Source organism: Homo sapiens, chromosome 6 (assembly GCF_000001405.40).
Source record: "Homo sapiens chromosome 6, GRCh38.p14 Primary Assembly".
NCBI classification, from domain to species: domain Eukaryota; kingdom Metazoa; phylum Chordata; class Mammalia; order Primates; family Hominidae; genus Homo; species Homo sapiens.
The window spans coordinates 27202050-27229484 of NC_000006.12; the positions used below are offsets into that span (position 1 = coordinate 27202050).

At 43.5% G+C, this 27435-nt stretch overlaps 1 long non-coding RNA gene, 4 other non-coding genes and 1 pseudogene across 5 annotated transcripts, besides 2 other annotated features; 4 read left to right on the forward strand and 2 right to left on the reverse strand.

Moving 5' to 3' along the window:
• Positions 1-4038: 4038 nt before the first annotated feature.
• On the reverse strand, positions 4039-4111 carry TRV-CAC6-1 (tRNA-Val (anticodon CAC) 6-1). Its single transcript has one exon. It is a non-coding gene; the product is annotated as a tRNA-Val (tRNA).
• A 3688-nt stretch (positions 4112-7799) lies between these two features.
• TRS-CGA2-1 (tRNA-Ser (anticodon CGA) 2-1) lies at positions 7800-7881 on the forward strand. The gene has a single exon. It is a non-coding gene; the product is annotated as a tRNA-Ser (tRNA).
• RPL10P2 (ribosomal protein L10 pseudogene 2) lies at positions 9154-9892 on the forward strand (annotated as a pseudogene).
• TRR-ACG2-2 (tRNA-Arg (anticodon ACG) 2-2) lies at positions 11795-11867 on the reverse strand. The gene has a single exon. It is a non-coding gene; the product is annotated as a tRNA-Arg (tRNA).
• Positions 13094-13594: an enhancer, noted in NCBI's record as "H3K4me1 hESC enhancer chr6:27182922-27183422 (GRCh37/hg19 assembly coordinates)". NCBI's record gives its function as "activates a minimal SCP1, AML or CMV promoter by ChIP-STARR-seq in naive H9 embryonic stem cells {active_cell/tissue: H9 hESC(naive)}" and the evidence as "EXISTENCE:reporter gene assay evidence [ECO:0000049][PMID:30033119]".
• On the forward strand, positions 13124-13196 carry TRR-ACG2-3 (tRNA-Arg (anticodon ACG) 2-3). The gene has a single exon. It is a non-coding gene; the product is annotated as a tRNA-Arg (tRNA).
• LOC124901293 (uncharacterized) lies at positions 15617-16712 on the forward strand. Its single transcript, XR_007059536.1, has 2 exons — positions 15617-15819; positions 16048-16712. It is a non-coding gene; the product is annotated as an uncharacterized LOC124901293 (long non-coding RNA).
• Positions 22855-22914: an enhancer, noted in NCBI's record as "active region_24274". NCBI's record gives its function as "activates an Ori minimal core promoter by ATAC-STARR-seq in GM12878 lymphoblastoid cells {active_cell/tissue: GM12878}" and the evidence as "EXISTENCE:reporter gene assay evidence [ECO:0000049][PMID:35858748]".

Sequence of the window (27435 nt, forward strand, 5' to 3'; positions counted from 1 at the left end):
AGTGCAATGGAAAGATCTCGGCTTGCTGCAACCTCCATTTCCTGGGTTCAAGCGATTCTCCTGCTCAGCCTCCCGAGGAGCTGGGATTAAAGGTGTCTGCCACCATGCCCAGCTAATTTTTGTATATTTAGCAGAGACGGGGTTTATCCATGTTGGCCAGGCTGGTCTCGAACTCCTAACCGCAGGTTATCAGCCCGCCTCGCCCTCCCAGAGTGCTGGCATTACAGGCGCGAGCCACCTAGCCTGGCCTTAAACAAGTTCTTATAAAAAGAGAGAGGAAAAGTCTCAGGATTCATACTCTTGGGATGTAAATAAATGTCTCCAGAGTGGAAGATAAGATAAGCATCTCCGTGTTTATAAGCCTTAAAATGTCTCCATGGTTCCAGGAGAGAGAAATTGTATTATCCTTCAAATGAGATAACACTTTTGAAATGTGAGAAGCAAATTGGTCTAGGGAAACCAGAACATTCACTAATGTGTCAATTTCCCTTGCCCAGAAAGCCAAACCATGCAGAACATGAAAATATTCACTTCCTGACAACACCTTTCAAAAAGAGAGATTTAAGGTAGTCTGATGTCTCATTCTATTTTCACTAATTCTTTAAATATGAAGACTTTTTCTTTTTTTCTTTTCTTCCTTTTTTTTTTTTTTTTTTTTTTCCAGATAGGGTCTTATTCTGTCACCCAGGCTGGAGTGCAGTGGAGTGATCTTGGCTCACTGCAACCTCCATCTCCCAGGTTTAAGTGCTCTTTCCTCCTCAGCCTCCCAAGTAGCTGGCACTACAGGAGTGCTCCACCACACTCAGCTAATTTTTTGTAGAGATAGGGTTTCACCATGTGGCCCAGGCTGGTGTTAAACTCCTGAGCTCAAACGATCTGCCGGCCTCGACTTCCAAAGCATGCTGGGATTATAGGTGTAAGCCACCATGCCCAGCCTTGAGGACATATTTTCAAATGTATTTTACATTTTACATTTGCCCAGTTTTCCAATTTTTAGGCAAAACATTTATCAAACAAAAGATGGCATCTTAAGCAGTTTTTTCTTTCTTATTTTATTGGTCCTTAAGGCTGATTACTCCTTTTGTGAGCTATTTCTGAAGACAGTTATTTGTCAGAAGACTGTGGGGATTTTTCTCTTATACTTATTCATTTATACAATCCAGAAATTAGCAGGATCAAAACTAGTGGAAACACATAGACACTTACAGCTTTTTATTTTAAGGTCAAAGTACTTACAACATTTTAATTTTAATTTTAATTTTTTGGGATGGAGTCTCACTCTGTTGCCTAGGCTGGAGTGCAGTGTCATAATCTCAGCTCACTGCAACCTCCACCTCCCAGGTTCAAGCAATTCTTTTGCCTCAGCCTCCTGAGTAGCTGGGATTACAGGCATCTACCACCACATCCAGCTAATTTTTGTATTTTAAGTAGAGACGAGGTTTCATCATGCTGGCCAGCCAGGCTGATCTTGAACTCCTGACCTCAGGTGATCCTGACCTCAGCCTCCCAAATTGCTGGGATTACAGGCGTAAGCCACCGTGCCCGGCCTTAAAACATTTTTAATAAGCCCACAGAGTCATTTAGCAAAGGAAGCCCACTCTTCCTTCATCCTGCAAAGTTAGTATACAGCTGCCAGAAAGAAAGACGGCTAAACTTCATCCTCTGCAAGCTATCTGTTTTTTAAACATTATCCTTATGGCCTAAGCAAGGGAGAAAAACATCTTTTCTCACCAAGTTCATGGCTGAGGCCTCTATAACAAAATACAGATTAAACAAGAGAAAAGCATACAAGTGTATTTAACATAAGCTTTGTGTGATATGAGAGACTAGAAATGAAGACCTAAAGAAACAGGGAAACATTTGTAGTTTTATGATAGGTTGACGAAGAGAAGATAGTTATGCAGAAGTATAATTGTACAAAGAGGGTGTGATGTAAGGATAATAAACTGGGGGAATTTAGCAAGGCTTACTTGTTCAGGTTCTTCTGTGTGTCCCTGTGTCTTCAGAGAAAAACATGTTCCTTTCCTCCAGTTATAGGAAGGGCACCTCTGGAATGAAGATCTCCTGACCTGCTTTAGGGGAGAAGGGCTACGGAAAAGTGAGAGTGACCTACTTGCTTCTGTGGTTTTGTCAAATGTCAAGATGTCATATCTCGGGGTAGCATGTTCTGAACCCCATCATCTGAATTATCTTATTTAGTTATTTACTTGGTGGTTGCAAGAAAGCTCCCCAAAACAGGAACTCTGTTTTATTCATAACTATATTTCCAGAGCTTTTTGCCACAAATTCCTATGTAGTGTTTGCATTTCTGATCACTTGCTTGAATTACCTCTACTATTGTTTATTCCAGAACTACTCCTTTGGCTTCTGCAATATCAGTTGTCCTGACTTTCTTTCTATTCCTCTGATACTTGTCATAGTCTTCTTCATAGGACCCTCTTCTCATAAAATTGCAGGATCGAAACTCTTTTTCTTTTTTTTTTTTTTTTGAGACAGCGTCTTGCTCTGTCACCCAGGCTAAAGAGTGTAGTGGTGTGATCTCGGCTCATTGCAACCTCTGCCCCTCAGGTTCATGCGATTCTCCTGCCTCAGCATCCTGAGTAGCTAGGATTACAGGCACGCACCATGACGCTTGGCTGATTTTTTGTATTTTTAGTAGAGACAGAGTTTCACCATGTTGGTCAGGCTGGTCTCCAACTCCTGGCCTCAGGTAATCCACCCACCTGGGCCTCCCAAAGTGCTGGGATTACAGGCGTGAGCCAAGGCACCCGGCTGAAACTTCTTTTAAACCACTTAGATTGGAATGCTGCTGTTGAAATTGAATTGGGTGATCTTTACTATCTCTTGAAGAGCTACTTTTAAAAAATAGTAACAGTTGTATTAATCAGGGTTCTCCAGAGAAACAGAACCAATAGGAGGTGTGTATATACAGAAAGATATTTATTTTAAGGCATAGGTTCACACAACTGTGGAGGTTGACAAAGATTATTTGTTTGGTCAAACTTTAGTCAGGCTCCTGAACTGTCTCCAGGGCCCATCTGTGTTCTTCCTTGTAAAACCAGTTTTAGCAAGAACCCTGATAAATCAGTTTAACAACAATCCCCTACCCTTGATATCTGCTCCCCCTCCATAGCTGATCAGGTTCCTCATCCTCCACCATCCCCCAGGTAAGGTCTGATGGCCCTGGCCTGTCTTCAGCAAGAATCCTGTTAGGTCTGTTCAGCCAGAATCCCCTTACCCCTGATGCTTCCTCTTAGTAATTTTCCATCCACTGACCACCCACCACCCCGATCCTTGGCTATAAATTCCCACTTGTCCATGCAGTATTCAGAGTTGAGCCCAATCTCTTCTCTACTGCAAGACTCCTTTGTGGACCCTATTACCTACCATGGTGGTCCTGAATAAAGTCTCTCTTACCATGATTTAATAAGTGTCCTTAACCGAAGAGCCTCAGATCGCAGCCCGCTGCCACCTGCGTCCTGGGCTAAGAGGCAGCATCAAGGATAAGGGGCATTCCGGCTAAACAGACTTAACAGGATTCTTGTTACCTGCCCGAGGTCCTTGTCAGTTCTTAAGGACAGGTGCTTTGCATTATCCTCCAGCACTCTCCCACCCACTGCAACATTCCCCTCTCACCATGCAGGTGGTAAGTAAATTTTGGTTGAAAATATTTATCCAGCAAGAGATGAATTGCCCGGCTAATGTCACTGCCGGACGCCCGGGTAGTCGCCACTTGGTTTAAAGGCGGAGCTGTTCTTGCATTTCAAAGAAATCCAGATTCCGAAAGTAAGTAACAACCATGCCCGTGGCCCGGTTCCTTTCTCTTACACTCTTCCAAGGACCCCTTTTAGACCTAGAGGAAACCCCGCAGAAGTGACAGGGAGAGGGGGAAAGCTCTTTTACAGTGGCGAAACCACGTGGCTGCGAGAGCTTCTCAGGGAGAGCTCCTGTTTTCAAAGTCTGGCAAATTTATCAGTTTGATTTTTCTTAAACATTTATATTTTTATGGAGTAGAAAATCTACCAAACGAGTAAAGAATGTTTCCGCCTGGTTTCAAACCGGGGACCTTTCGCGTGTGAGGCGAACGTGATAACCACTCCACTACGGAAACAACTGTGGGAAAGGGTTACCCACATCCCCCCCGCCCCCATCCCCACCCCGCCGCTTAACTAAGAGGGCTTTGCCTGAAGGGCCTGGACTGCCTTATACGTCTGTTTAGAAAATGATCGTTGTGGTGCAGTTCTCTCCTTTTACTGTTTTCGAAAAGAAAAGCAATTCATAACCAAGCTTCCCCAGGGCTCCAATTCCCGCACAAATTTCAAACATGGAAAGCTAGAACGGAATGCTACAGAATTTTATTTCAAGACCTCCCTATGCTGTCTATGCACGTTTCTTTATCTGCAAAACCCGCCCCGATAGTCATATCTTGGTGACTTTTGGGAAAACCATGAAGGAGCGACCTGAGACCAGGAGATGATTGGAGGCCATCAGCACTTTCTGCCATAGCTGCTCTCATCATTTTGTTTGCAGTCAAATAACTAGAAGTAGTCATGGCTTCTGGGAAATATAGGGAAGCAGATGAAACATGCAAAGAACACCACCAACTCTGCTACAGAAAGCAAATGCAAAAAGATACAGTCTTTGCCCCCAAGGAAATCAGAGTCTAGTAATGTCTTCCTTATAAGATCATGATGATATATTTTTTCTATTGTCTTATTGCCCAAAGGTATAGCCATTGAAGACAAGAATCAAAACAAGATTATAGTTCATCTAACTTTTGAATCTTATGCTCTTTCTAGCACAATTGTACTGGACACATTATATTAAGGCAAAATATTTTAAGTCATCTTGGACTTGTAGCCTCTACAACTGTGAGAAAAGTAATTTTTGTTCAATCCACTCAGTCTGTGGTATCTTATGGCAGCTCAAGTTTACTAATACAGGTGTGTTTACTATAATGAGTACAAGCAGTAATCAGAATAGTCTGACTCAGAGATCTTTGACATTGATGACTATACTATATAACATCCCTAGAATTAAAATAAGTATGCAACTTATTAATATCTTACTTGATCTATATAAGCAGAAAAGTCTAGTAGATAGAAGTCTGACCTGAATCAGCAAAACAGAGAATCATGGCCTCCCAACCAATTCCCAGATATGAGCCAGCTTTGACTGAGGAGAAGGTAAGCTTCTCTTGAGAAAGAATACTCATAGCTTAGTACAAATTTATACTGTTATTCTTCCTCCCTTCTCTAAAGGGGCCTGTATCCATTTACCAGAGTGACTGTGCTTTGGGAAAGGGGAAATAGGCAGACTTTTCAGGAATTACTAAACAAAGATCCTGAACTGACATTAATTCCTAGAGATACTAAGCATCACTATTGTCCACCTGGCAAATTAGGGACTCAGAGAGGTCAGACATTCAATGAAATTTTGCCTCTGGTGCATTTCACTATAGGCACAGCAGATCCCTGAACCTACTCTGTAGTTATTTTCCCAATTCCAAACAGAATATTTATATTGTTTCTATGAGTGATAGAGTGCAGGCTATTATGGTATAAAAGGCCAAGGGGAAGCCACTGGAAATTCCTCTACCTATGAAAATTATAAACCGAAAGGAATATTGTACTCCTGGAGGGATTGCAGAAAGGATGGCACCATCAAGGACTTGAAAGATGCAGGGCTGGTGGTTCTTAGCATATCTCTATTCAACTCATTATTCAACTGCGGAAGACAAATGGATTATGGAGAATGATGGTGAATTATTGAAAATTTAGTCAGGTAAATATTCCAATTGCATCTGCTATTCCAGATGTGGTTTCATTAATGGAAATATTAACACATCTCCTGGTACCTGCTATGCTGTTATTGATATGGTTAGTTCTTTTTTCTCTATACTTAATCATTAAGACCATCAGAAGCAGTGGTCTTTTAGCTGGCAAGGCCAGCAGTACACCTTATCTGCCCTACTGTTGCAGGACTTTTCCTTAGTTCAGCTAAAGATGGGGTTCTTTGTCCCACAGCCATGAAAATTCAGGCTTGCAGACAATTTGGTGAGTAAGACAGGGTTTTATTGGGTGAAAAGGGAAAAAGGGGGAAACAGGGACTCTCGCAAGGCCAGAGTCCCTCCACTAGAGCGCTTCTACTTCCTGCCCAGCAGTTGGAATCCCAGGTTCCACATAGGAAGAGGAAGGGCCAGGATCCTCCCAGCTGCAAACATCATGAACTTCCTGAGGCTCCACCTCAGTGGGTAGGCTGGTTGGAATCCAGGGACCCCCTCCCACCTGGCTGTCTCACTACCTTGGGGATATATTGAGTCTCTAACCCTGTGTCACCAACTAGTCCACAGGGAGTTTTATCACCTTACCATTCCATAGAACATCATACTGGTCTCTTACATTAATTATATTTTTAGTGACAAGAAGGTAGCAACTACTCTATAACATTGGTAAGACATTTGTATGCCAGACGGTGGGAAATAAACCTCACAAAGAATCAGAGCCTTACTACCTCAGTGAAATTTCTAGGTGTCCAATTGTCTGCAACATTATGAGTTGCTGCATCTGATACCTTTTCTTATTAAGAAAGCGGTGGCCGGGCGCGGTGGCTCACGCCTCTAATCCCAGCACTTTGGGAGGTCGAGGCGGGCGGATCACGAGGTCAGGAGATCGAGACCATCCTGGCTAACACAGTGAAACCCCGTCACTAATAATAAAAAAAAAAATACAAAAAATTCGCCGGGCGTGGCGGGCCCCTGTAGTCCCAGCTACTCGGGAGGCTGAGCCAGGAGAATGGCGTGAACCCGGGAGGCGGAGCTTGCATTGAGCCGAGATCGTGCCACTGCACTCCAGCCTGGGCGACAGACTCCGTCTCAAAAAAAAAAAAAAAAAAGAAAGAAAGAAAGTGGTACAATACTGAGTAGAACATACTGAGTAGAACTCTTTGGATTTGGGAGGCAACATTTGGGCACGCTACACCAAACCATTTATCAAGTAACCTGAAAATATCCCAGTTTTGAGTGGGGGCCTAGAACAGGAAATGGTTCTGCAACAGGACCACGTTGCAGCTCAAGCGACTCTGCCACTGGGACCATAAGAACCAGAAGAATTGATCTTTCTTCAAGTGTCAGAGAAGAGGGATGTTATCTGGAGGCTTTGGCAAATTTCTACAGGTGAATCACGGCACAGAACTTTAGAATTTCAGAGCAAAGTTTTGCCATCCTCTGTGGGTAACTACTCTTCTTTAGACAAGTAGCTTTTACCAGCTTTTTTTTTTTTTAACCAGGTTCTTAGTACAGTCTGAATGCTTGACCACATACCACCACATTACCATATGGCCTCAGATGCAGATCTTGAACTGGATAGTGTGTGTTACCAAGCCATAAATTTAGACATGCACAGCAGCGTTCCATTATCAAATGGAAATGGGATGTATTAAATAAAGCTTGAGCAGCTCCTAAAGGCACAAGTAGGTTGCATGAGGAAGTGGCACAGCTGTTTATGGCATCTACTCTTGCTATATTGCCTTCTGTTTATTTGTGTGTGTGTGTGTGTACATCTACATCTATGGCCTCATAAGAGTTCTAAATGACCAGTTGACTGAAGAAGAAAAAACTCAAGAATGGTTTATAGATGTTCTGTATGTTCTGTACAATATGCAGGCACCACTTGAAAGTAAACAGCTGCAGCCCCACAGCCCCACATACAAATAAACAAGAGAGGCTAGCAGTGAGAATTACAGCATGCAGGGCCCTATGCGTATGTGTTTTTGATGCATAAATAGTAACCATTTAGAGGGCTGTGATGGCCGAGTGGTTAAGGCGTTGGACTCGAAATCCAATGGGGTCTCCCCGCGCAGGTTCAAATCCTGCTCACAGCGCTTCTCGGTACCTCTCTCTCTCTTTTTTTTCTAAATCACAAATCGCTGTGACTCTCAGTCTTTCATCTTATTTCACATACAAACTGAGAAGAGGGCCGCGTCCTATCTCGAACTCTGTGTTGGACCGCCCACCTTTACCCTAAGCACCCGGACCTGCTCCTCCCAGCTGAGCCTCAGTGAACCCCTGAGCCCCGGGCGGTGCTTCCATCAAAGATCTACCTACTCCTCAGAGTCCACAGGAAGCCTGGGGCTTCTTGGGCTTTCACAATAGCTGCTCACTTTGTTTTGAGATTGCTAAATGGGAAAGCAGCGACAGATTCTAACGGCAAAGAGGAAATTTTGCTTTAAAAATACAACTCCCCTCAGTCGGGCGCGGTGGCTCACGCCTGTAATCCCAGCACTTTGGGAGGCTGAGGCAGGAGAATTGCTTGAACCCGGGAGGTGAAGGTTGCGGTGAGCCGAGATCAGGCCACTGCAGTCCAGCCTGGGCAATAGAGCGAGACTCCGTCTCAAAAAAATAAATAAAAAATAAAAATAAAAATACAACTCCCCAGGCCGGGCGCAGTGGCTCACACCTGTAATCCCAGCGCTTTCGGAGGCCAGGCGTGGTGGCGGGCGCCTGTAGTCCCAGCTACGCGGGAGGCTGAGGCAGAGAATTGCTTGAACCCGGGGGGCGGAGGTTGCAGTGAGCCGAGATCGCGCCACTGCACTCCAGCCTGGGGCTGGGTGACAGAAAGAGAAAAAAATAAAATTAAAATAAAATAATAATTTAAAAAAACACCAAACAAACAACAACAACAAAAACTCCCTGTACTGATAATAGAAATGTAGGTAAGCATCATTAAGTAGTTCTGTGGTATTAAAAACAAACCAGGCTGATGATAATTTAAAAGATCTAAGATCATAAATATCCATTAGTATGTGTGTGCCTGGCACTCTTAAAAAGAGTGAACAGGCTGGGCACGGTGGCTCACGCCTGTAATCCCAGCACTTTGGGAGGCCAAGGAGGGAGGATCACGAGGTCAGGAGATCGAGACCATCCTGGCTACCACGGTGAAACCCCGTCTCGACTAAAAATACAAAAAAAAAAAAAATTAGCTGGGCGTGGTGGCGGGCGCCTGTAGTCCCAGGTATTCGGGAGGCTGAGGCAGGAGAATGGCGTGAACCCGGGAGGCGGAGCTTGCAGTGAGCGGAGAGCGCGCCACTGCACTCCAGCCTGGGTGACAGATCGAGACTCCGTCTCCAAAAAAAAGAAAAAAAAAGTGAATAGAGCTCTTTCCCTTCGGCGTGCCACTGAAGATCCTGGTGTCACCATGGGCCGCCGCCGCGCCCGTTGTTACCGGTATTGTGAAAACAAGCCGTATCCAAAGTCTTGCTTCTGCTGAGGTGTCCCTGATGCCAAGATTCGCATCTTAGACCTGGGAAGCAAGCAAAAGTGGATGAGTTTCCTCTCTTTGGTCACATGGCGTCAGATGAATATGAGCAGCTCTCCTCTGAAGCCCTGGTGGCTGCCCAAATTTGTGCCAATAAGTACATAGTAAAAAGTTGTGGCAAAAATGGCTTTCATATCCGAGTGCGGCTGCACCCCTTCCACGTCATCTGCATCAACAGGATGTTGTCCTGTGCTGGGACTGACAGGCTCCAAACAGGTATGGGAGGTGCCTTTGGAAAGCCCGCAGGGCACTGTGGCCAGGATTCTCATTGGCCAAGTTATCATGTCCATTCGCACCAAGCTGCAGAACAAGGAGCATGTGATTGAGGCCCTTCGCAGGGTCAAGTTCAAGTTCCCTGGCCGCCAGAAGGTCCACATTTCAAAGAAGGGGGGCTTCACCAAGTTCGATGCAGATGAATTTGAAGACATGGTGGCTGAGAAGCAGCTCATCCCAGATGGCTGTGGGATCAAGTACATCCCCGATCGTGGCCCTCTGGACAAGGGAGGGCTTTGCATTCATGAGGGCTTCCACTGTGCTGCCTCCTCTTAATACTCGCCGTAAATCCTACTTCCTGTCCAAAAAAAAAAGCAAAAACAAAAAAACAAAACCAACAAAAAAAGCAGTGAATAGAAATGAGGAAATTGAGACAAAAGGCGGATACACAACTTAGCCAAGGCTACAAGGAAGGAGTCGGGATAAAGGCGCTGTGCACTGTGGCTGCAATGGGGCCCAAAACTACCGAGCTTCTCACTTTCAGAGGAGAGGACCACCCACCCCCGTTTATAAATACTTTTGCATTTTCACATGCCTATTTCGCCTACATTGAGTCCTTAAATAATATTTAGCCAATTTATCTAATGATGACTGTTATAATTTAACTTTATATTTATATTAACTCCAAGTTTCTAGGTTGCTAAATGAATTTTGTTGTTAAAATGTTTACCATTTTTTTTCTTTTGAGACGGGCAGGGCGGGGGAGGGGTGGGGAGCAGCGCCGTGTCTCGCTATGTTGCCCAGGCTGTTCTCTAAATCTTGGGTTTAAGCGATCCTCCCGCCTAGGCCTCCCAAAGTGCTGGTGTGAGCCACTGTGCCCAGCCAAAATGTTTACCTTTCTTGAATTATTATATCAATTTACCTAATTTGGGGAAGGAAGATGTTTCTTTCTTTCTTTTTTCTTTTCTTTTTCTTTTTCTTTTTTTTTTTTTTTGAGACGGAGTATCATTCTTGTTGCCCAGGCTGGAGTGCAATGGCGCGATCTAGGCTCACTGCAACCTCTGCCTCCCGGGGTCAAGCGATTCTCCCGCGTCAGCCTCCCGAGCTGGATTACAGGCATGTGCCACCACGCCCGGCTAATTTTTGTGTGTGTTTTTGGTAGAGACGGGGCTTCACCATGTTGGCCAGGCTGGTGTCGAACTCCTGACCTCAGGTGATCCACCCACCTCGGCCTCCTGGAGTGCTGGGATTACAGGCGTTAGCCATCGCACCCAGCCTGAGACATGTTTCTTAAAATCTTTTCTGTTGCATAGAGTCTTATAATTACAGAGGAAATTACTTCCTCTGTAATGGTTTTGTGGTTATGGTTGTTTTGTTATGATTCTTTGGAGAATGAGATGGAAAACATATGATGTATACCCCAAGAATGTATTTTATTCCATTTTCTTTTTCATTATCTCAAAATTTTAAAGTATTTTGATCTCTACTGTTCCACACAAAGCATCAGTATCCAACATAAGTATATTAAAAAATGAAATTATTTAATGAATGAACAGATGAACCGACTGCATAAATTAATGAAGCTTTCACAAGTGCAATAGACACAAGGGGGCGGTGGCTCACGCTTCTAATCCCAGCACTTTGGGAGGCTGAGGTGGGCGGATCACCTGAGATCGGGAGTTCGAATCCAGCCTGACCAACATGGAGAAACTCTGTCTCTACTAAAAATACAAAATTAGACAGGCGTGGGTGGCGCATGCCTGTAATCCCAGCTACTCGGGAGGCTGAGTCAGGAGAATCGCTTGACCCCGGGAGACAAAGGTTGCGGTGAGCCGAGATTGCCCCATTGAACTCCAGCCTGGTCATCAAGAGCGAAACTCCATTTCAAAAAAAAAGAAAAAACGGAAAACACACAGGATGATATTTTTCTTTAAAAATTAAAAAAAAAAAAAAAAAAAAGGCCGGGCGCGGTGGCTCATGTCTGTAATCCAAGCACTTTGGGAGGCCGAGGCGCTCTGATCACCTTAGGTCAGGAGTTCGAGACCAGCCTGGCCGACATGGTGAAACCCCGTCTCTACTTAAAATACAAAAATTATCCGAGCGTGGTGGCAGGCGCCTGTATTACTAGCTACTCGGGAGGCTGAGGCAAGAGAATTGCTTGAACTCGGGAAGCGGAGGTTGCAGTGAGCCGAAATCGCGCCATTGCCCTCCAGCCTGGGGGACAAGAGCGAGAATTCGTGTGTGGGGGGGGGAAGAAAATAAGCCTCCGAGCCAGCCAGGAGTCGAACCTAGAATCTTCTGATCCGTAGTCAGACGCGTTATCCATTGCGCCACTGGCCCGTCGTTGTGGGTCTCTCGATTATCTATTCTTCATTAGGATCACTAAGAAAATAGTTGGTTTGCAATACAACCAGGCGTACATTGAACAAGACTGTGGATTCTAGCAAAGCGCGATTGTCTTTGTGGTCAATTTAAATAAGTTTCACTCCCTTCAGATATTTATATTTATAAAGAAATTTTCTGCTTTGGAACATCATGTACATAATAGAGTTACTGTCGTTGACATTTGTTTACTTGATGTGCCCACTTCTTTCTTTTTTTCTTTTCTTTTCGTTTTTTTTTCTTTATGAGACGGAGTCTCCTTCTGTCACCAAGGCTGGAGTGGAGTGGCGCGATCTCGGCTGACTGCAACCTCCGCCTCCCCGGCTCAAGCGATTCTCCTGCCTCAGCCTCTCGATGAGCTGGGATTACAGGCGCGCGCCACCACGCCAGGCTAATTTTTTGTGTTTTTAATAGAGACAGGGTTTCACCATGTTGGCCAGGCTGGTGTCGAACTCCTGACCTCAAGTGATCAACCTGCCTCCCAAAGTGCTGGGATTACAGGCGTAAGCCACGGCGCCCGGCCTGGGAGATGTTTCTTAATGTCTTTTCTGTTGCATAAAGTATGAAATTATTTTCTCTGTAAGGATTCTTTGGTTATGTTTCTTTTGTTATGGTTCTTTGGAGAATGAAATGGAAAACATATGATGTGTACCTCAAGAAAGTATTCCATTTTCTTTTTCATTATCTCAAAATTTTTAAAGTATTTGGATCTCTGATCACTGTTCCACACAAAGCATCAGTATCCAACACAAGTATGTTTAAAAAATGAAATTATTTAATGAATGAGCAGATGCACCGACTGCATAAATTAATGAAGCTTTCACAAGTGCAATAGACACAAGGGGGCGGTGGCTCACGCTTGTAATCCCAGCACTTTGGGAGGCCGAGGCGGGCGGATCACCTGATGTCAGGAGCTGGAGACCAGCCTGGCCGACATGGTGAAACCCCGTCTCTACTAAAAATACAAAAATCAGCCGGGAGTGGTGGCGCGCGCCTGTAATCCCAGATACTCAAGAGGCTGGGGCAGGAGAATCGCTTGAACCCGAGAGGCGGAGGTTGCAGTGAGCCGAGATCGCGCCAGTGCACTCTAGACTGGGCGAGAGAGCAGGACTCTGTCTCATTAAAAAACAAAAACAAAAACAAAAAGCGGGTACATCAATGATAGATAATCGACAGACGCAGACTGAGTGGCCAGTAGTCAAAAGCGCAACCGAGGGCCAGTGGCGCAATGGATAACGCGTCTGACTACGGATCAGAAGATTCTAGGTTCGACTCCTGGCTGGCTCGGGTGTTAATCTTGGCTTTTTTTTTTTTTTTTTTTAAGAAAAATATCCTGTGTGTTTTCAAACTGATGACAGAAACCGGTTCTTAAAGTCCTTTGAAAGAAAATTCATCTGATCTGGCTCTTCACCTTGCACCGTACTGCTGCACATCACAATCGTGACCTTTAAGTCTGGTTTAAAGTTAAGTATCAAACTGAAATTTGAGACCTTAAGTCTCTTCGGAAATTGCTTTTTTTCTTTTTTTTTTTGAGACGGAGTCTCGCTCTGTCGCCCAGGCTGGAGCGCACTGGCTGCATCTCGGCACACTGCAACCTCTGCCTCCCGGGTTCAAGCAATTCTCCTGCCTCAGCCTCCCAAATAGCTGGTACTACAGGCTGACGCCGCCAGGCCTGGCTAATTTTTTGTATTTTAGTAGAGACAGGGGTTTCACCGTGTTGCCCAGGCTGGTCGCAAACTCCAGATCTCAGGCAATTCGCCCTCCTTGGCCTCCCCAAAGTGCTGGGATTACAGGCGTGAGCCACCGCGCCCGGCCTGGAAATTGCATTTTTTAAATCTCCCCTTTCTTTTTTTTTCCCAACTGATACTGAGAAATGGGTTGGTTCAAAGAGATCTCTGGAAAGACAACTCAAAAAATTCAAACATTCGACAACAAAAAGAAGTAAAGTTCTAGGCCGGGCATGGTGGCTCACGTCTGTAATCCCAGCACTTTGAGAGGCCGAGGAGGGCGGATCACCTGAGGTCAGGAGTTCGAGACCAGCCTGGCCAACACAGCTCTACTAAGCATGGCTCTACTAAAAATACAAAAATTAGCCAGACATGGTAATGCGCGCCTGTAATCCCAGCTACTCGGAAAGTTGAGGCAGGAGAATCTCTTGAACCCGGGAGGTGGAGGTTGTAGTTAGCCGAGATGGCGCCACTGCACTCCAGCCTGGGCTGTAGAGCGAGACACTGTCTCAAAATAAATAAATAAAATAAAATAAAATAAAGTTACAATACGTGCTACAAAGTGAATGAACCTTGAAAATATTATGCTAAGGAAAAGAAGCCAAACACGAAAAGCTACATATTGTATGATTCAATTTATAGAAAATGTCTAGAATAGACAAATCTGTAAAGGTAGAAAGTGTTAATATTTGCCAGGGGCTGGAGAAAGAGGGGAATGAGTACGGAGTTTGTTTGGGATGATGAGAATGGTTTGAAATTAGATAATGGTGATAGTTGCACAAGTCTGTGAATACACTAAAAAGCAGTGAATTGTACACCTTCAAAAGTTGGATTTTATGTTATGTTAATTATATCTTAATTTTTTAAATCCAAATTTAAAAAACAATATTGACCTACCGACTTTTTTTCTTTTCTTTTGAGTCTGGATCTCCCTTTGTCGCCCAGGCTGGAGTGCAGTGGCTCCATCTCGGCTTACTGCAACGTCCGCCTCCAGGTGTAAGCCATTCTCGTGCCTCAGCCTCCGGAATAGCTGTGACTACAGGTGTCCGCCGCCACCCCCGGCTAATTTTTGTATTTTTAGGCGGGGCGTGGTGGCTCACGCCTGTAATGCCAGCACTTTGGGAGGCCGAGGCGGGCGGATCACTTGAGGTCAGGAGTTTGAGACCAGCCTGACCAACGTGGTGAAACCCTGTCTCTGTTAAAAATACAAAAATTAGCCAAGCGTGGTTGTGGGCGCCAGTAATCCCAGCTACCCGGGAGGCTGAGGCAGGAGAATCGCTTGAACCCGGGAGGCAGAGGTTGCAGGGAGCCGAGATCGCGCGACTGCACTCCAGCTCGGCCCACAAGAGCGAAACCCGCCAAAAACAAAACAAAACAAAACAAAACAAAACAAAAAAGTAGAAAGGAAGGAAGGAAATTTTGAGTAGAGACGGGGTTTCGCCATGTTGGTCAGGTTGGTCTCGAACTCCTGAACTGAAGTGATCCGCCCGCCTCAGCCTCCCAAAGTACAGGGGTTACAGGCCTGAGCTACCGCGACCGACCGACATTTTTCTTTTTTCTTTTTTTTACTTTGTTTTTGTTTTTGTTTTTTTGGTTTTTTGTTTTTTTCAGACGGAGTGTTGCCCTGTTGCCCAGGCTGGACTGGAGTGCAGTAGCAGGATGTCAACTCACTGCAGCCTCTGTCTCCCGATTTCCAGCGATTCTCCTGCCTCAGCCTCCCGGGTAGCTGGGATTACAGCAGTATGCCACCGCGCTCGGCTAATTTCTTATTTATTTATTTATTTATTTTTGGTATATTTAGTAGAGATGGGGTTTCGCCATTTTGGCCATTATGGTCTCGAACTCCTGACCTCAGGTGATCCGTCCGCCTCGGCCTCCCAAAGAGCTGGGATTACAGGCGTGAGCCGCCGCCCAACCACTTTTTTTAGTATTTTAAATCAAGTATCTTTTTGTTTGTTTGTTTCTTCTGTGCCTATGCTTACCCAGACAGTTTCTTCATTTATTTTCCCCCGCCTTGGGCAGGCTTCCACTCTTCAGACCCTTTCCTGCACAACTTTGTCCCTGAGCATAGGTCCTGGACGTAAAAGAAGGGACATCGTCTGGAGAAATATTGAATTAAGAAAGGCGCGGCTGTGAAGAATAGAAATCAGTGTCTCCCTTAGTCTCTCAGTTCGGCGATCTTGGTAATGCCCTGTCCCATGCCTGCTAACGCGATTCAGCCTCGATATCCCCGTCCAGTCCCACGATCGCACCAAGAAGAGCTTGCGAGCCTTCCTGCTACATACTGACATTAAGAAACCGGACTTGAAAGGGATCCCAGACAAACGTTAAACATGCAACAAGAGGGATAGGGTGTAAGGAAGAGAATCCTTGGGGCGGTGTCTGATAAAACAGATGGCTCTCCTTTCCAGGTGTTTCTGAATTTGATCCCCGACGCCTGGGGCATCGTGGAGGAACTTGCATAGGAAATCAAGGTGTCGCAGGAAAGAGAACACGCACAAGCAAAAGATACCTTAATTTGTAGTATACTCAATATTTATCGTACAGAAGTGTATCGACGATAGACAATGTGCGATGTGATGGGTGCTGGGAACTTAACGAACTCTCCACGCGCCTAGACCTCATTGGATCCACTTTCTCTTGGGCTGTGAGCCGGTAAAAAAAAAAGGGGTGGATGTGGAGGACGGTCCAAAGGATTCGGAGCTCCTTAAAATGCTACTCAAACTTTATTTAGCGCGCTGGAGAATCCCTGAGAAGGAGTATTATACCCAGTTTTCCGGGACTTACCTCCAGTGATTCTACGTCGATTCTTTGATGAGGCCCATTAATTTTTAGCTGGGTGATGCCGACCAGACTGTAAGTAGCACTGTATTCGTGCATTTTCTTTTATCGCCCACTTTTTGCAACTAACACCAACAGAGAACTTCCACGGTAGAAGGTGAAAAATTGAGCGTCTACCGGGAGTGGGACTCACAATCTTATGTTACTGGGCTTTAACCAACCGAGGTAATTCCCTTCTACTTTCAAGATTTTTATTTTTGTTTTCGTGTTTAATAAACGTGTAGATTTCGTCGCATTGTTTTGTTCTGTTCTGTGGCGGCTTTTTCATAGAAAGACAACACCAACCTGGGCATGGTGGCGTGACTCTGTAACTATACTCAGAAGGCTGAGGCGGGAGAATCGCTTAAGGCCTGCAATTGAAGGCCAACTTGGACAACAGAATGAGACCCTCGTCTCCAATAAAATACACAATTTTTTTGAAAAAGACAACATCTCCCCCTTAAACAAAACATTCTCTTCTGAAAATGCATTCTCTTAATCTCCTTTCTTTTACTGATACTGAGAAAGGGGTTGGCTGAAAGAGATCTCTGGAAAGACAACTCAAAAAAATCAAATAAAGAGTACTATTTGGCGGGGTGCGATGGCTCACGCCTGTAATGCCAGCACTTTGGGAGGCTGAGGCAGGTGGATCACCTGAGGTCAGGAGTTCGACACCAGCCTGGCCAACATGGTGAAACCCCATCTCTACTAACAATACAATAATTAGCCTTGTGTAGTAGCAGCCACCTGTAATCCCAGCTACTTAGGAGGCTGAGGCAGGAGAATCACTTGAACCTGGGAGGCGGAGGTTGCAGTGAGCTGAGATCACCCCATTGCATTCCAGCCTGGGCCATAAGAGCGAAACTCCATCTCAAAAAAAAAAAAAAGTATTATTTATCTATAAAAAGAAATGAAATTCTAATACAAGCTATGACATGAATGAACATTGAAAATATTATACTAAGAAAAAGAAGCCTTTGACCTTTGATATGATAAGCAGATTGGGACCCCATCCCACTCCACTGAAAAAACTACAGAGATTGTATTTGAAGATAAAATACTTTCTTTTCTCCTGAGTATTCTAGAGCAGCACTGTCCACAACAGCCACTCACACATATTTCAAAAACATAGTACAAAAACAGAAAGAAAGAAAAAAGAATTCTCATATTTTCTTGATAACATGTTTAAATGATAATATTTGGAGTTAAAATATATTAGAAGTAGCTGGGCACAGTGGTATGCTCTTGTAATCCCAGCTATTCCAGAGGCTGTGGAAAGGGGAATTTCCTGAACCTAGGAGTTTGAGACCAACGCGGGCAATACAGCGAGCCCCCTTCTCTTAAAAAAAATAAAATTAAATTAATTTCACTTGTTTAACTTTACTTTCTTAGTATTACTAGAAAACTTAAAATTACCCACTATATGATATTATATGTTAACTCATATCTTCTTGTGGTTATTGATGTGGTAACATCAGTAAAGTGCTATCAATTTACCAGGGGCACAGTGCCTTTGAGCAGACTCCAGACTCTATAATGCTGTCATATTGCATTTGTTTTTCATCAATAAATACATATGTTCTTCTCTTAAACCAATTTCTTTTTTTCTGTGTGTGTGTGTGTGTGTGTGTGTGAGAGAGAGAGAGAGAGAGAGAGAGAGAGAGAGACGGAGTCTTGCTGTCGCCCAGGCACTCCATGGCAAAATCTCAGCTCACTGCAACCTCCGCCTCCTGGGTTCAAGAGGTTCTCCTGCCTCAGCCTCCCGAGTAGCTGGTATTACAGGCGCCCACCACCATTCCCAGCTAATGTTTGTGTTTTTTAGTAGAGATGGGGTTTCACCATGTTGATAAGGCTGGTCTCAAACTCCTGGCCTCAGGTGATCCACCTGCCTCAGCTTCCCAAATTGCTGGGATTACAGATGTGAGCCACCGTGCCCAGCCTCTCTTAAACCAATTTCTAGGGTGCAAAAATGGTAAACTCCTCATACTAAATTTCTTTTCCTGATTTTCTTTTTTCATTCAAGAGAGATCTATGGGTTGGCTAAAGAGCTTGCTTAGTAAACTGAAGATCCTGGATTTCAGTTTGGTAGGGCTTTCTATAGGCTTTGTAATTTTTACAAGTGTAGCTCTATCTTTGTTGCATACAGTTTAAGGAATTCATTCTTGATGACATCTGTGTTATTCATTTGTTATATGCTGTGGAAAACTAAAAAGCCTGAGGTCTAGTTCATCAATTTAGTTTTTGAGGGTGGCAGGAAGTCTTTAAGGAAGAAAGGAGGAAAGACTGGATGGAATATGCTACATGATGGAAGCCGCATGAACAATCATTCCCTACATGGCATGACTAAAGCACTGTCAATTATTTATTGGGAACAAAAAAATTTTAGAATTTTCAGGTCTGGTGCGGTGGCTCATGCCTGTAATCCCAGCACTTTGGGAGGCCGAGGCTGGTGGATCACTTGAGGTCAGGAGTTCGTGACCAGCCTGGCCAACATGGTGAAACCTGTCTTTACTAAAAATACAAAAATTAGCCAGGCATGGTGGTGGGCACCTGTAATCCCAAGCTACTCAGGAGGCTGAGGCAGGAGAATCACTTGAACCCAGGAGGCAGAGGTTGCAGTGAGCCGAGATGGCAGCCCCTGCACTCCAGCCTGGGAGCAAGACTCTGTCTCAAAAAAAAAAAATTAGTGTTTTCATCTGATGACAATTTCCTTGTCCTATACAATAAGATTACCAATGATTTCTTTTGCAATCATTGAATATTTTGTCTTTTATCTATGACTTTACCATTTGAGAACACGCAATAAGAACTCCAGTAGTTACTGGAAATCAATTTTGTATGATTTTCAATTACAAAATTTCAATTTTGTATGATCTCCACAAAAATTGTTTTTTTTTGTTTGTTTGTTTGTTTGTTTTTTGAGAGGGAGTTTCGCTCTTGTTCCCCAGCCTGGAGTGCAATGGCGCGATCTCAGCTCAACCAACCTCCGCCTCCCGGATTTAAAGTGATTCTCCTGTCTCAGCCTCCCAAGTAGCTGGGATTACAGGTGCCCACCACCATACCCAGTTAATTTTTTTTTTTCTGTTTTTAGTAGAGACGGGGTTTTGCCATGTTGGTCAGGCTAGTCTCGAATTCTTGTCCTCAGGTGATCCACCTGCCTTGGTCTCCCAAAGTGCTGGGATTACAGGTGTGAGCCACTGCACCCGCCTCCACTTTCTTTTCTCCACTTTCATGGAAGTCAATAGAATGGAGCTGGACACTGGAGAAGTTGAGAGGTCTGCAGGAGCTGCTGGAACCAGAAAGCAAAACTCTTTTCCTCCTGCAAAGTCTCTCCAGCACCCACACCTGACAAAATTCAGTGCCAGCTGGCACAAGAAAAAAAAAAATTAAAGGGCCCAGATCCCATTTCAAAAAGCAGTCTAAAAGGATGAATTGCAGGTTGAAACGTAAAAAAAGCAATCATGCGCACAGATGGCTCCATAATGAGCAAGATCGCAGAGCAGTGCCCCCAAACAGTATCTTCCAACTCATAACACACTGAAAACTGCTAAGTAGGTACCATCAATTATGCACTTTTAAATAGTGAGTGATCCATATATGTGCTGTTGTCTTTTTCTTCTGTTCTTTTTGGGTTTTTTGTTTTTTGTTTTTGAGAGACAGAGTCTTGCTCTGTCACCCAGGCAGGAGTGCAGTGGCAGGATCTCACCTCACTGCAACCTCCGCCTTTCTGATTCAAGCGATTATCCTGCCTCGACTTCCCAAGTAGCTGGAATCACAGGCACCCGCCACCATGGCCAGCTAATTTTTGTATTTTTCTTAGTAGAGACGAGGTTTCACTATGTGTTAGCCAGGCTGGTCTTGAACTCCTGAGCTCAGGTGATCGACCTGCTTCGGCCTCCCAAAGTGCTGGGATTACGGGGGTGAACCACTGCACCCCGCTTGTTATTTTGTGTGGTTTTTGTTTTTGTTTTTGTTGTTTGTTTGTTTTGAGACAGAGTTTTGCTCTCGCCGTCCAGGCTGGAGTGCAATGGCACAGTCTCGGCTCACTGCAACCTCCACATCCTGGGTTAAAGCAGTTCTCCTGCTTCAGCCTCCCAAGTAGCTGGGATTACAGGTGCCTGCCACCAGGCCTGGTTGATTTTTGTATTTTTAGTAGAGATGGGGTTTCACCGTGTTGGCCAGGCTGGTGTGGAACTCCTGACCTCAAATGATCCGCCTGCCCCGGCCTCCCAAAGTGCTGGGATTACAGGCATGAGCCACTGCGCCCAGCTTCTTCTGTTCTTTTCAACTCACTTTAGATATTTCTGGATGATCGGTTTACCCTTTCCTCCTCTAGTTCTCTTTTTTTCAGGCTAAGCCACATATATGTCCTTTAAAGTTGCCAATCTGACTGAACCTGAAACACCACATGTAGTTTTTGTATACTTTATCGTCAAACACATTTACTTCATATTTAAATTATTTCCTATTAACATAATTTTGATTTCCAAAACCTCTTTTTTGGTTTTTCGTTTTGTTTTGTTTTTGTGGTTTTTTTTTTTTTTTTTTTTTTTTGAGACAGAGTTTTGCTCTTGTTGTCCAGGCTGGAGTACAATGGCGCGATCTCGGCTCACCGCAACCTTCGCCTCCCGGATTTAAGTGATTCTCCTGCCTCGGCCTCCTGAGTAGCTGGGATTACAGGCATGTGCCACCGTGCCTGGCTAATTTTGTATTTTTAGTAGAGACGGGGTTTCTCCATGTTGGTCAGGTTGGTCTCAAACTCCTGACCTCAGGTGATCCGCCTGCCTCAGCCTCCAAATGTGCTGGGATTACAGGCGTGAGCCACCGCGCCCGTGCTTTTTTTTTTTTTTTTTTTTTTTTGGTTTTATGAAAGCTTTTCTTCATTGGATCCTAGTCCTTGTTATTGGATACAGTATTGTTTCTCTCCCTTCTGAAGATATTAGTGAGATATGATATAATATGATATATGATATAAAGTTTTTCCTGCAGTCTGTGTCCTTAAATTGTATTTTAAAAATCTCTTTTTATATCCTTCCTCCCTCCCTCCATCTCTCTCTCTCCCCCACCTCTCTCTCTATATATATTTGGTGATCCTTGCACTATACACGTTGTATTAGTTTGTTATCACTTCCATAACAAAGTACCACAGATTGTGTGATTTAAACAACAGACATTTATTTTCTTACATTTCTGGAGGCTAGAGGTCAGAAATTATGGTGTCAACAGGATTTGTTTGTTTGTTTATTTTATGCTTCTCTCCCTGGTTTGCAGATAGCCATCTCCTCCACGTCCTCACATCCTCTTCCTTCTGGGTGTGTCTGTGTCCTAATCTTTTCTTTCAAAGACATGTCATACTGCATTATGGTCAATTCTAAACACCTCATTCAAAGGCCCCATCTCCAAAGATAGTCACATTCTCAATTAGTACGTGTTAGGACTTCAAAATATGAATTTGGTAAAGAGGGGAGGACACATATTAATCTTTGACACATATATTTAAGAATAGGAGACTAAAATGCTGATTGAGGCTGGGCATGGTGGCTCAAGCCTGTAATCCCAACACTTGAGAGGCCAAGGTGGGTATATCACTTGAGGCCAGGAGTTTGAGACCAGCCTGGCCAACATGGAGAAATTCCACCCCTACTAAAAATACAAAATAAATAAATAAATAAATAAAAATAGCCGGTTGTGGTGGCACGTGCCTGTAATCCCAGCTACTCAGAAAGCTGAGGCAGGAGAATTGCTTGAACCCCGGGAGGTGGAGGTTGCAGTGAGCTGAGATCCTGCCACTGCACTCCAGCCTGGGTGACAGAGTGAGACTCTGTCTCAAAAAATAAAATAAAATAAAATAAAATGCTGATTGAGAAGACAATGTAGTCATATTTTTCCTATCATTCCCACTAAACACAGTTAAAAACCCTGGACATCATATATAAAACAAACATAAGAAGACTTCGAAAAGTGGAGAGAAGGCAAACTGGTGGGAGAACTTTCGACCTGAGGAAAGACACGTTGGTAAATTTCTTAATTTTTTTTTTTTTAATTTCATGTATCCTGGACTGAGTGCTGGAGAAGCCAACAACCCATCAACACAGACAAAAAAGCCACAGGAAAAGCAAGCTTTCTCTAGCCAAATGACAAGAAAAAGAGCAGCCTAGCAAGACAAAACTTACAGACAATAATTCTCTATTCCAACAGCACACTACAGAAAACGCTGAACTCCAATATCCCTACTCCCTCATTCTCCACCTGAAAGGCCCAGTCGGTAGCCCAAACTCTCACCTTTGGCCAGCAGCTGAGGTGGTTTCAGAGAAGGCCAATTGTGGAACTGAGATCTTTAACCTTATTTGGTAGTATCACTGCCATCTTCACACTTGCTAACCCCAGCCTGATCGGAAGCTCAGAGCACTTGAGTGTGGTTCTTAAAGAGAAAAATAACTTTTGATTTATATGGCTGGGACACCGTGGTTGGGAGAAACCTCCACTGTCAGGAGACAGTAAGTAATCAGTAAGGATCAGTAAGAGGGTTGGGCAGATTTCCAGAAATCAACTTCCAGTCAACCCGGAGATCATAGTCCTAAAAATGAATTGGAGACAAAATAAGGTAAAGTTCCATTGCTTTGTAGGATGTTGTACACCTTTCAAATTTGTTAGTCTCCTCCAGGCTAGTGAGCCTCCATATTACTCACTTAATAGAATCGTCTTCTAAATATCCTGCTATAAATTTCCTCCATATTCTGAAACAGAGCAAGGGGCTATATAACTCTAAATTTCCTCAAAATGGCATTAAAACGAGATCTATTTTCACTCCCCTATCCACTACATGTACACAAACGCCACCAATACCTGAAATTTTGGGGGCTGGCTTTCACAAGGTAAGTTATATTCTTTGGCTTTTCCCAATTCTGGCTTAAGGTGAAACTTCCCTTGTGTATCACACTAGTCCTTCTGTTATTTGGTTTTCAGAATTTTGCTACTGCTTTCTACTTTCCCATTATTGTCCTTTTGTACTTATGAACGGCTCTCTCTCCTTTTTTCTTTTTTCTTTCTTTCTTTCTTTTCTTCCTTCCTTCTCTTTCTTCTCTCTCTCTCTCTCTCTCTCTGAATTTTTGGCTAGAAAGATAGCAGATGCCTGTCTTCAATACGCGATTATTGTAAACAGGTCTATTTCTAACTTACTATGATTTTTCATAATGCTTGATATTCAGAGGATTAACAAAATAATACAGTAGGCAATGAAAAGGATGCTATCCTTTATGCTCAGATTAAAATCCTAAAGGGACTCCAGCCTCCACCTAGAATATAGAAAGTTGGAAAGAATATTGCTCCTAATCTAACAATGAAAAAGTCCGCATAGGCCGGGGGCGGTGGATCACGCCTGTAATCCCAGCATTTTGGGAGGCTGAGGTGGGCGAATCACCTATTACCTGACGTCAAGAGTTTGAGACCAGCTTGGCTAACATGGTGAAACCCTGTCTCTACTAAAAATACAACAACAACAAAAAAAACTAGCAGGGCATGGTGGCTCATGCCTGTAATCGCAGCTACTCGGGAGGCTGAGACAGGAGAATTGCTTCAACCCGGCAGGTGGAAGTTTCAGTGAGCCGAGATGGAGCCATTGCACTCCAGCTTGGGCGATAAGAGTGAAACTCCATCTCGAAAAAAAAAGAAAAGAAAAGAAAAAAGAAAGAAAAGTCCACATAGTCTAGAGAAGCATAATTTTCCTTGAACCCACGAAAAAGTTAAGGTCTCAGACAACCACGTAGCCTGAAATCTATGGAAAAATATGTGCTTCCAAGTAGAAATGAGAAATGAATACTGGCTCAACCATAGCAATAGGATGATGATGAGGCCTCCATGCGAGAGGGTAAGAAAAATTCAGCAAAAATTCAATATTTTATGACTTGCTGAATTTAGTCTAAGTGTTTATGTCTAAGAAGGAAATTCTAGAACCCCTAGGATCAAGTACTCAAGAAGAGTTTTCACACTTTTGCAGGCTTTTCTTCACAATTCTCATAGTACTGCTGTCCTCCATGTTGCAGGAGAATTGGTTCCAGGACCCGCAAGAATACCAAAATCCACTGATGCTCAAGTCCCTTATATAAAATAACCTATGCACATCTTCCTGTATACTTTAAATCATCTCTAGATTATTTATAATACCGAATATAATGTAAATCCTATGTAAATTGTTGCTATACTGTATTTTTTTATTGTTGCATTGTTTTTATTTTTTTCAAATATTTTTGATCCTTGGTTGGTTGAGTCTACAGATGTAGAACCCGTGCTCATAAGAAATGATGGAGCAGGGCAAGAGATCAGAGAAAGCCCCTTTCAGTGGAACAGGACTGAGAGAATAGCCTGTCCCTAAAGAAAGAAAGCTTAAGCACTTACGGAGTAGCAGCAAACATGGTTATATCCAGAGAGCAGAAAATTCACAGGAGCTGAAGAAAGTAAAAAAGAATGAAAATTTCTACTTCAAGGGAGTATTAGGTACAGAATATCAGAGAATGTCAACTTCTGGGAGCAGGCAGAATGACCTCAGAGACCCTGATCACAGAGTCTGCCTGTCTTAGTCTATTTTGGGTTGCTATAACAGAATACCTAAGCTTACGTAATTTATAAAGAAAAGAGTCTTATTTGGCTTATGATTCTGGTGGCGGGAAGGTTCAACCACATGATCATCTCAACAGACATAGAAAAACATTCAATAACATTCAACACCCATTAATGATTTTTAAAAAATTAGTAAACTGGGAATAGAGAGGAGCTTCTTCAACTTGATAAAAAGCATCTGCAAAAAAAATGTAATATCATACTTAATGGTGAAAGACTGAATGACTTCTCAAGATAGGGAATGTCTGACAAGAATATCTGCTCTTACCACTCTTTTTTTTTTTTTTTTTGAGACAGAGTCTCACTCTGTCGCCCAGGCTAGAGTGCAGTGGCACGATCTGGGCTTACTGCAAACTCCGCCTCCCGGGTTCACGCCATTCTCCTGCCTCAGCCTCCGGATTAGCTGGGACTACAGGCGCCCGCCACAACGCCCGGATACCGGCTAATTTTTTTGTATTTTTAGTAGAGACGGGGTTTCTAGTAGAGACGGGGTTTCACTGTATTAGCCAGGATGGTCTAGATCTCCTGACCTCGTGATCCGCCCGCCTCGGCCTCCCAAAGTGCTGGGATTACAGGCGTGAGCCACCGCGCCCGGCCTCTTACCACTCTTATTCAACATTGTTTTAGAAGTCCTATTTAATGTAATTACACAAGACAAATAAATAAAAGCACACAGATTAGATTGTAAAGGAAGAAATAAAACTCTAGTCATAGGCAACATGATTGTCTATACAGAGAATGCAAAATAATCTAAAATAAAAAATAAATATAACCTAAAATAAATAAAAATAAATAAATATAACCTAAAAATAAAATATCTGAAATAGAATAATAAAAGAATATAGTAAGACTGTGAGATAAAAGGTAAATAAATAAAAATCTATTGTATTTCTATGTACAGAGGTACCTCCACTTACGGTGGGGCTACATTCCAACGAACCTATTTCAAGTTAAGAATATAAATCAAGGCCGGGCGCGGTGGCTCACGCCTGTAATCCCAGCACTTTAGGAGGCCGAGACGGGCGGATCACGAGGTCAGGAGATCGAGACTATCCTGGCTAACACGGTGAGACCCCCCCCCCCCATCTCTACTAAAAATACAAAAGAATTAGCCGGGCGTTGTGGCGGGCGCCTGTATTCCAGCTACTCCGGAGGCTGAGCCAGGAGAATGGAGTGAACTCGGGAGGCGGAGCTTGCAGTGAGCCGAGATCGCACCGCTGCACTCTACCCCAGCCTGGACGACTGAGCGAGACTCCGTCTCCAAAAAAAAAAAAAAAAAGAATATAAGTCAAAAATGCATTTAGTACCTCCCCACTAAAAAAACCCATCACAAAGTTTAGAAAATTTAAGGCAAACCATGGTAAGTCAGTTACTGTATTAGAAATGAACAATTAGGGCCCGGTGCCATGGCTCACGCTCACGCCTGTAATCCTGGCTAGATCACCTGAGATCAGGAGTTTGAGACCAGCCTGGCCAACATGGCAAAACCCCGTCTCTACCAAAAATGCAAAAAAATTAGCCAGGCGTAGTGGCAGGCGCCTGTAATCCCAGCTACTCGGGAGGCTGAGGCAGGAGAATCGCTTGAACCCGGGAGGCGGAGGCTGCAGTGAGCTGAGATTGCGCCATTGCACTCCAGCCTGGGCAACAGAGCGAGACTCTGTCTCAAAAAATAAAATGTCTGATTATTGTAGTTTGCTCAGAAAATATAAGGAGCTCTCAGAACTCAATAATAAGAAAACCAAACAATAACGAATATTTAAGCACACACTTTGCCAAAGATTATATATGGCCAACAGATAAACACATATACTTTATGAAAATATACTTTAATCTTTAGGGAAATGCAAATCAAAATCACAGTAAGATACTAATGTATTTTTGCTAGAATGGCTAAAAAATTAAAACATAATTTAAAACAAGCATTGGTGAGAATGAGGGGGAACATAAACTCTAATATATGGTTCCTGGGAATTTAAAACGGTATGAATTGTTGCTGGAAATTTAAGACAGTATGACTGCTTTGGAAAGCAAGTCAGCAGTTTCTCATGAAACTTGTAATACAAAAGTGATAAACACTACATGAAGGTCCAATATCACTGTGAAGAAGGACAGGAGAGAATTCTAAAAATAGCAGGGCTCAAACAACAATTGGTTGCAGTCATCGGATGCAAGGATAGTCTCTCACTAAGTATATACAGCAGTCGGATTACACATATTTTTCTTTTATAAAACTATAACCACACCGAGGATCATTTCCTTTCATTTTCCTGTCAAGATTGATTTAGGTTAGCCAATTATCTCCTGCTCGTTGAAATAAATTTAAAAGCACATTATTTACTTATTGATGTTTTCCTATAATGTCT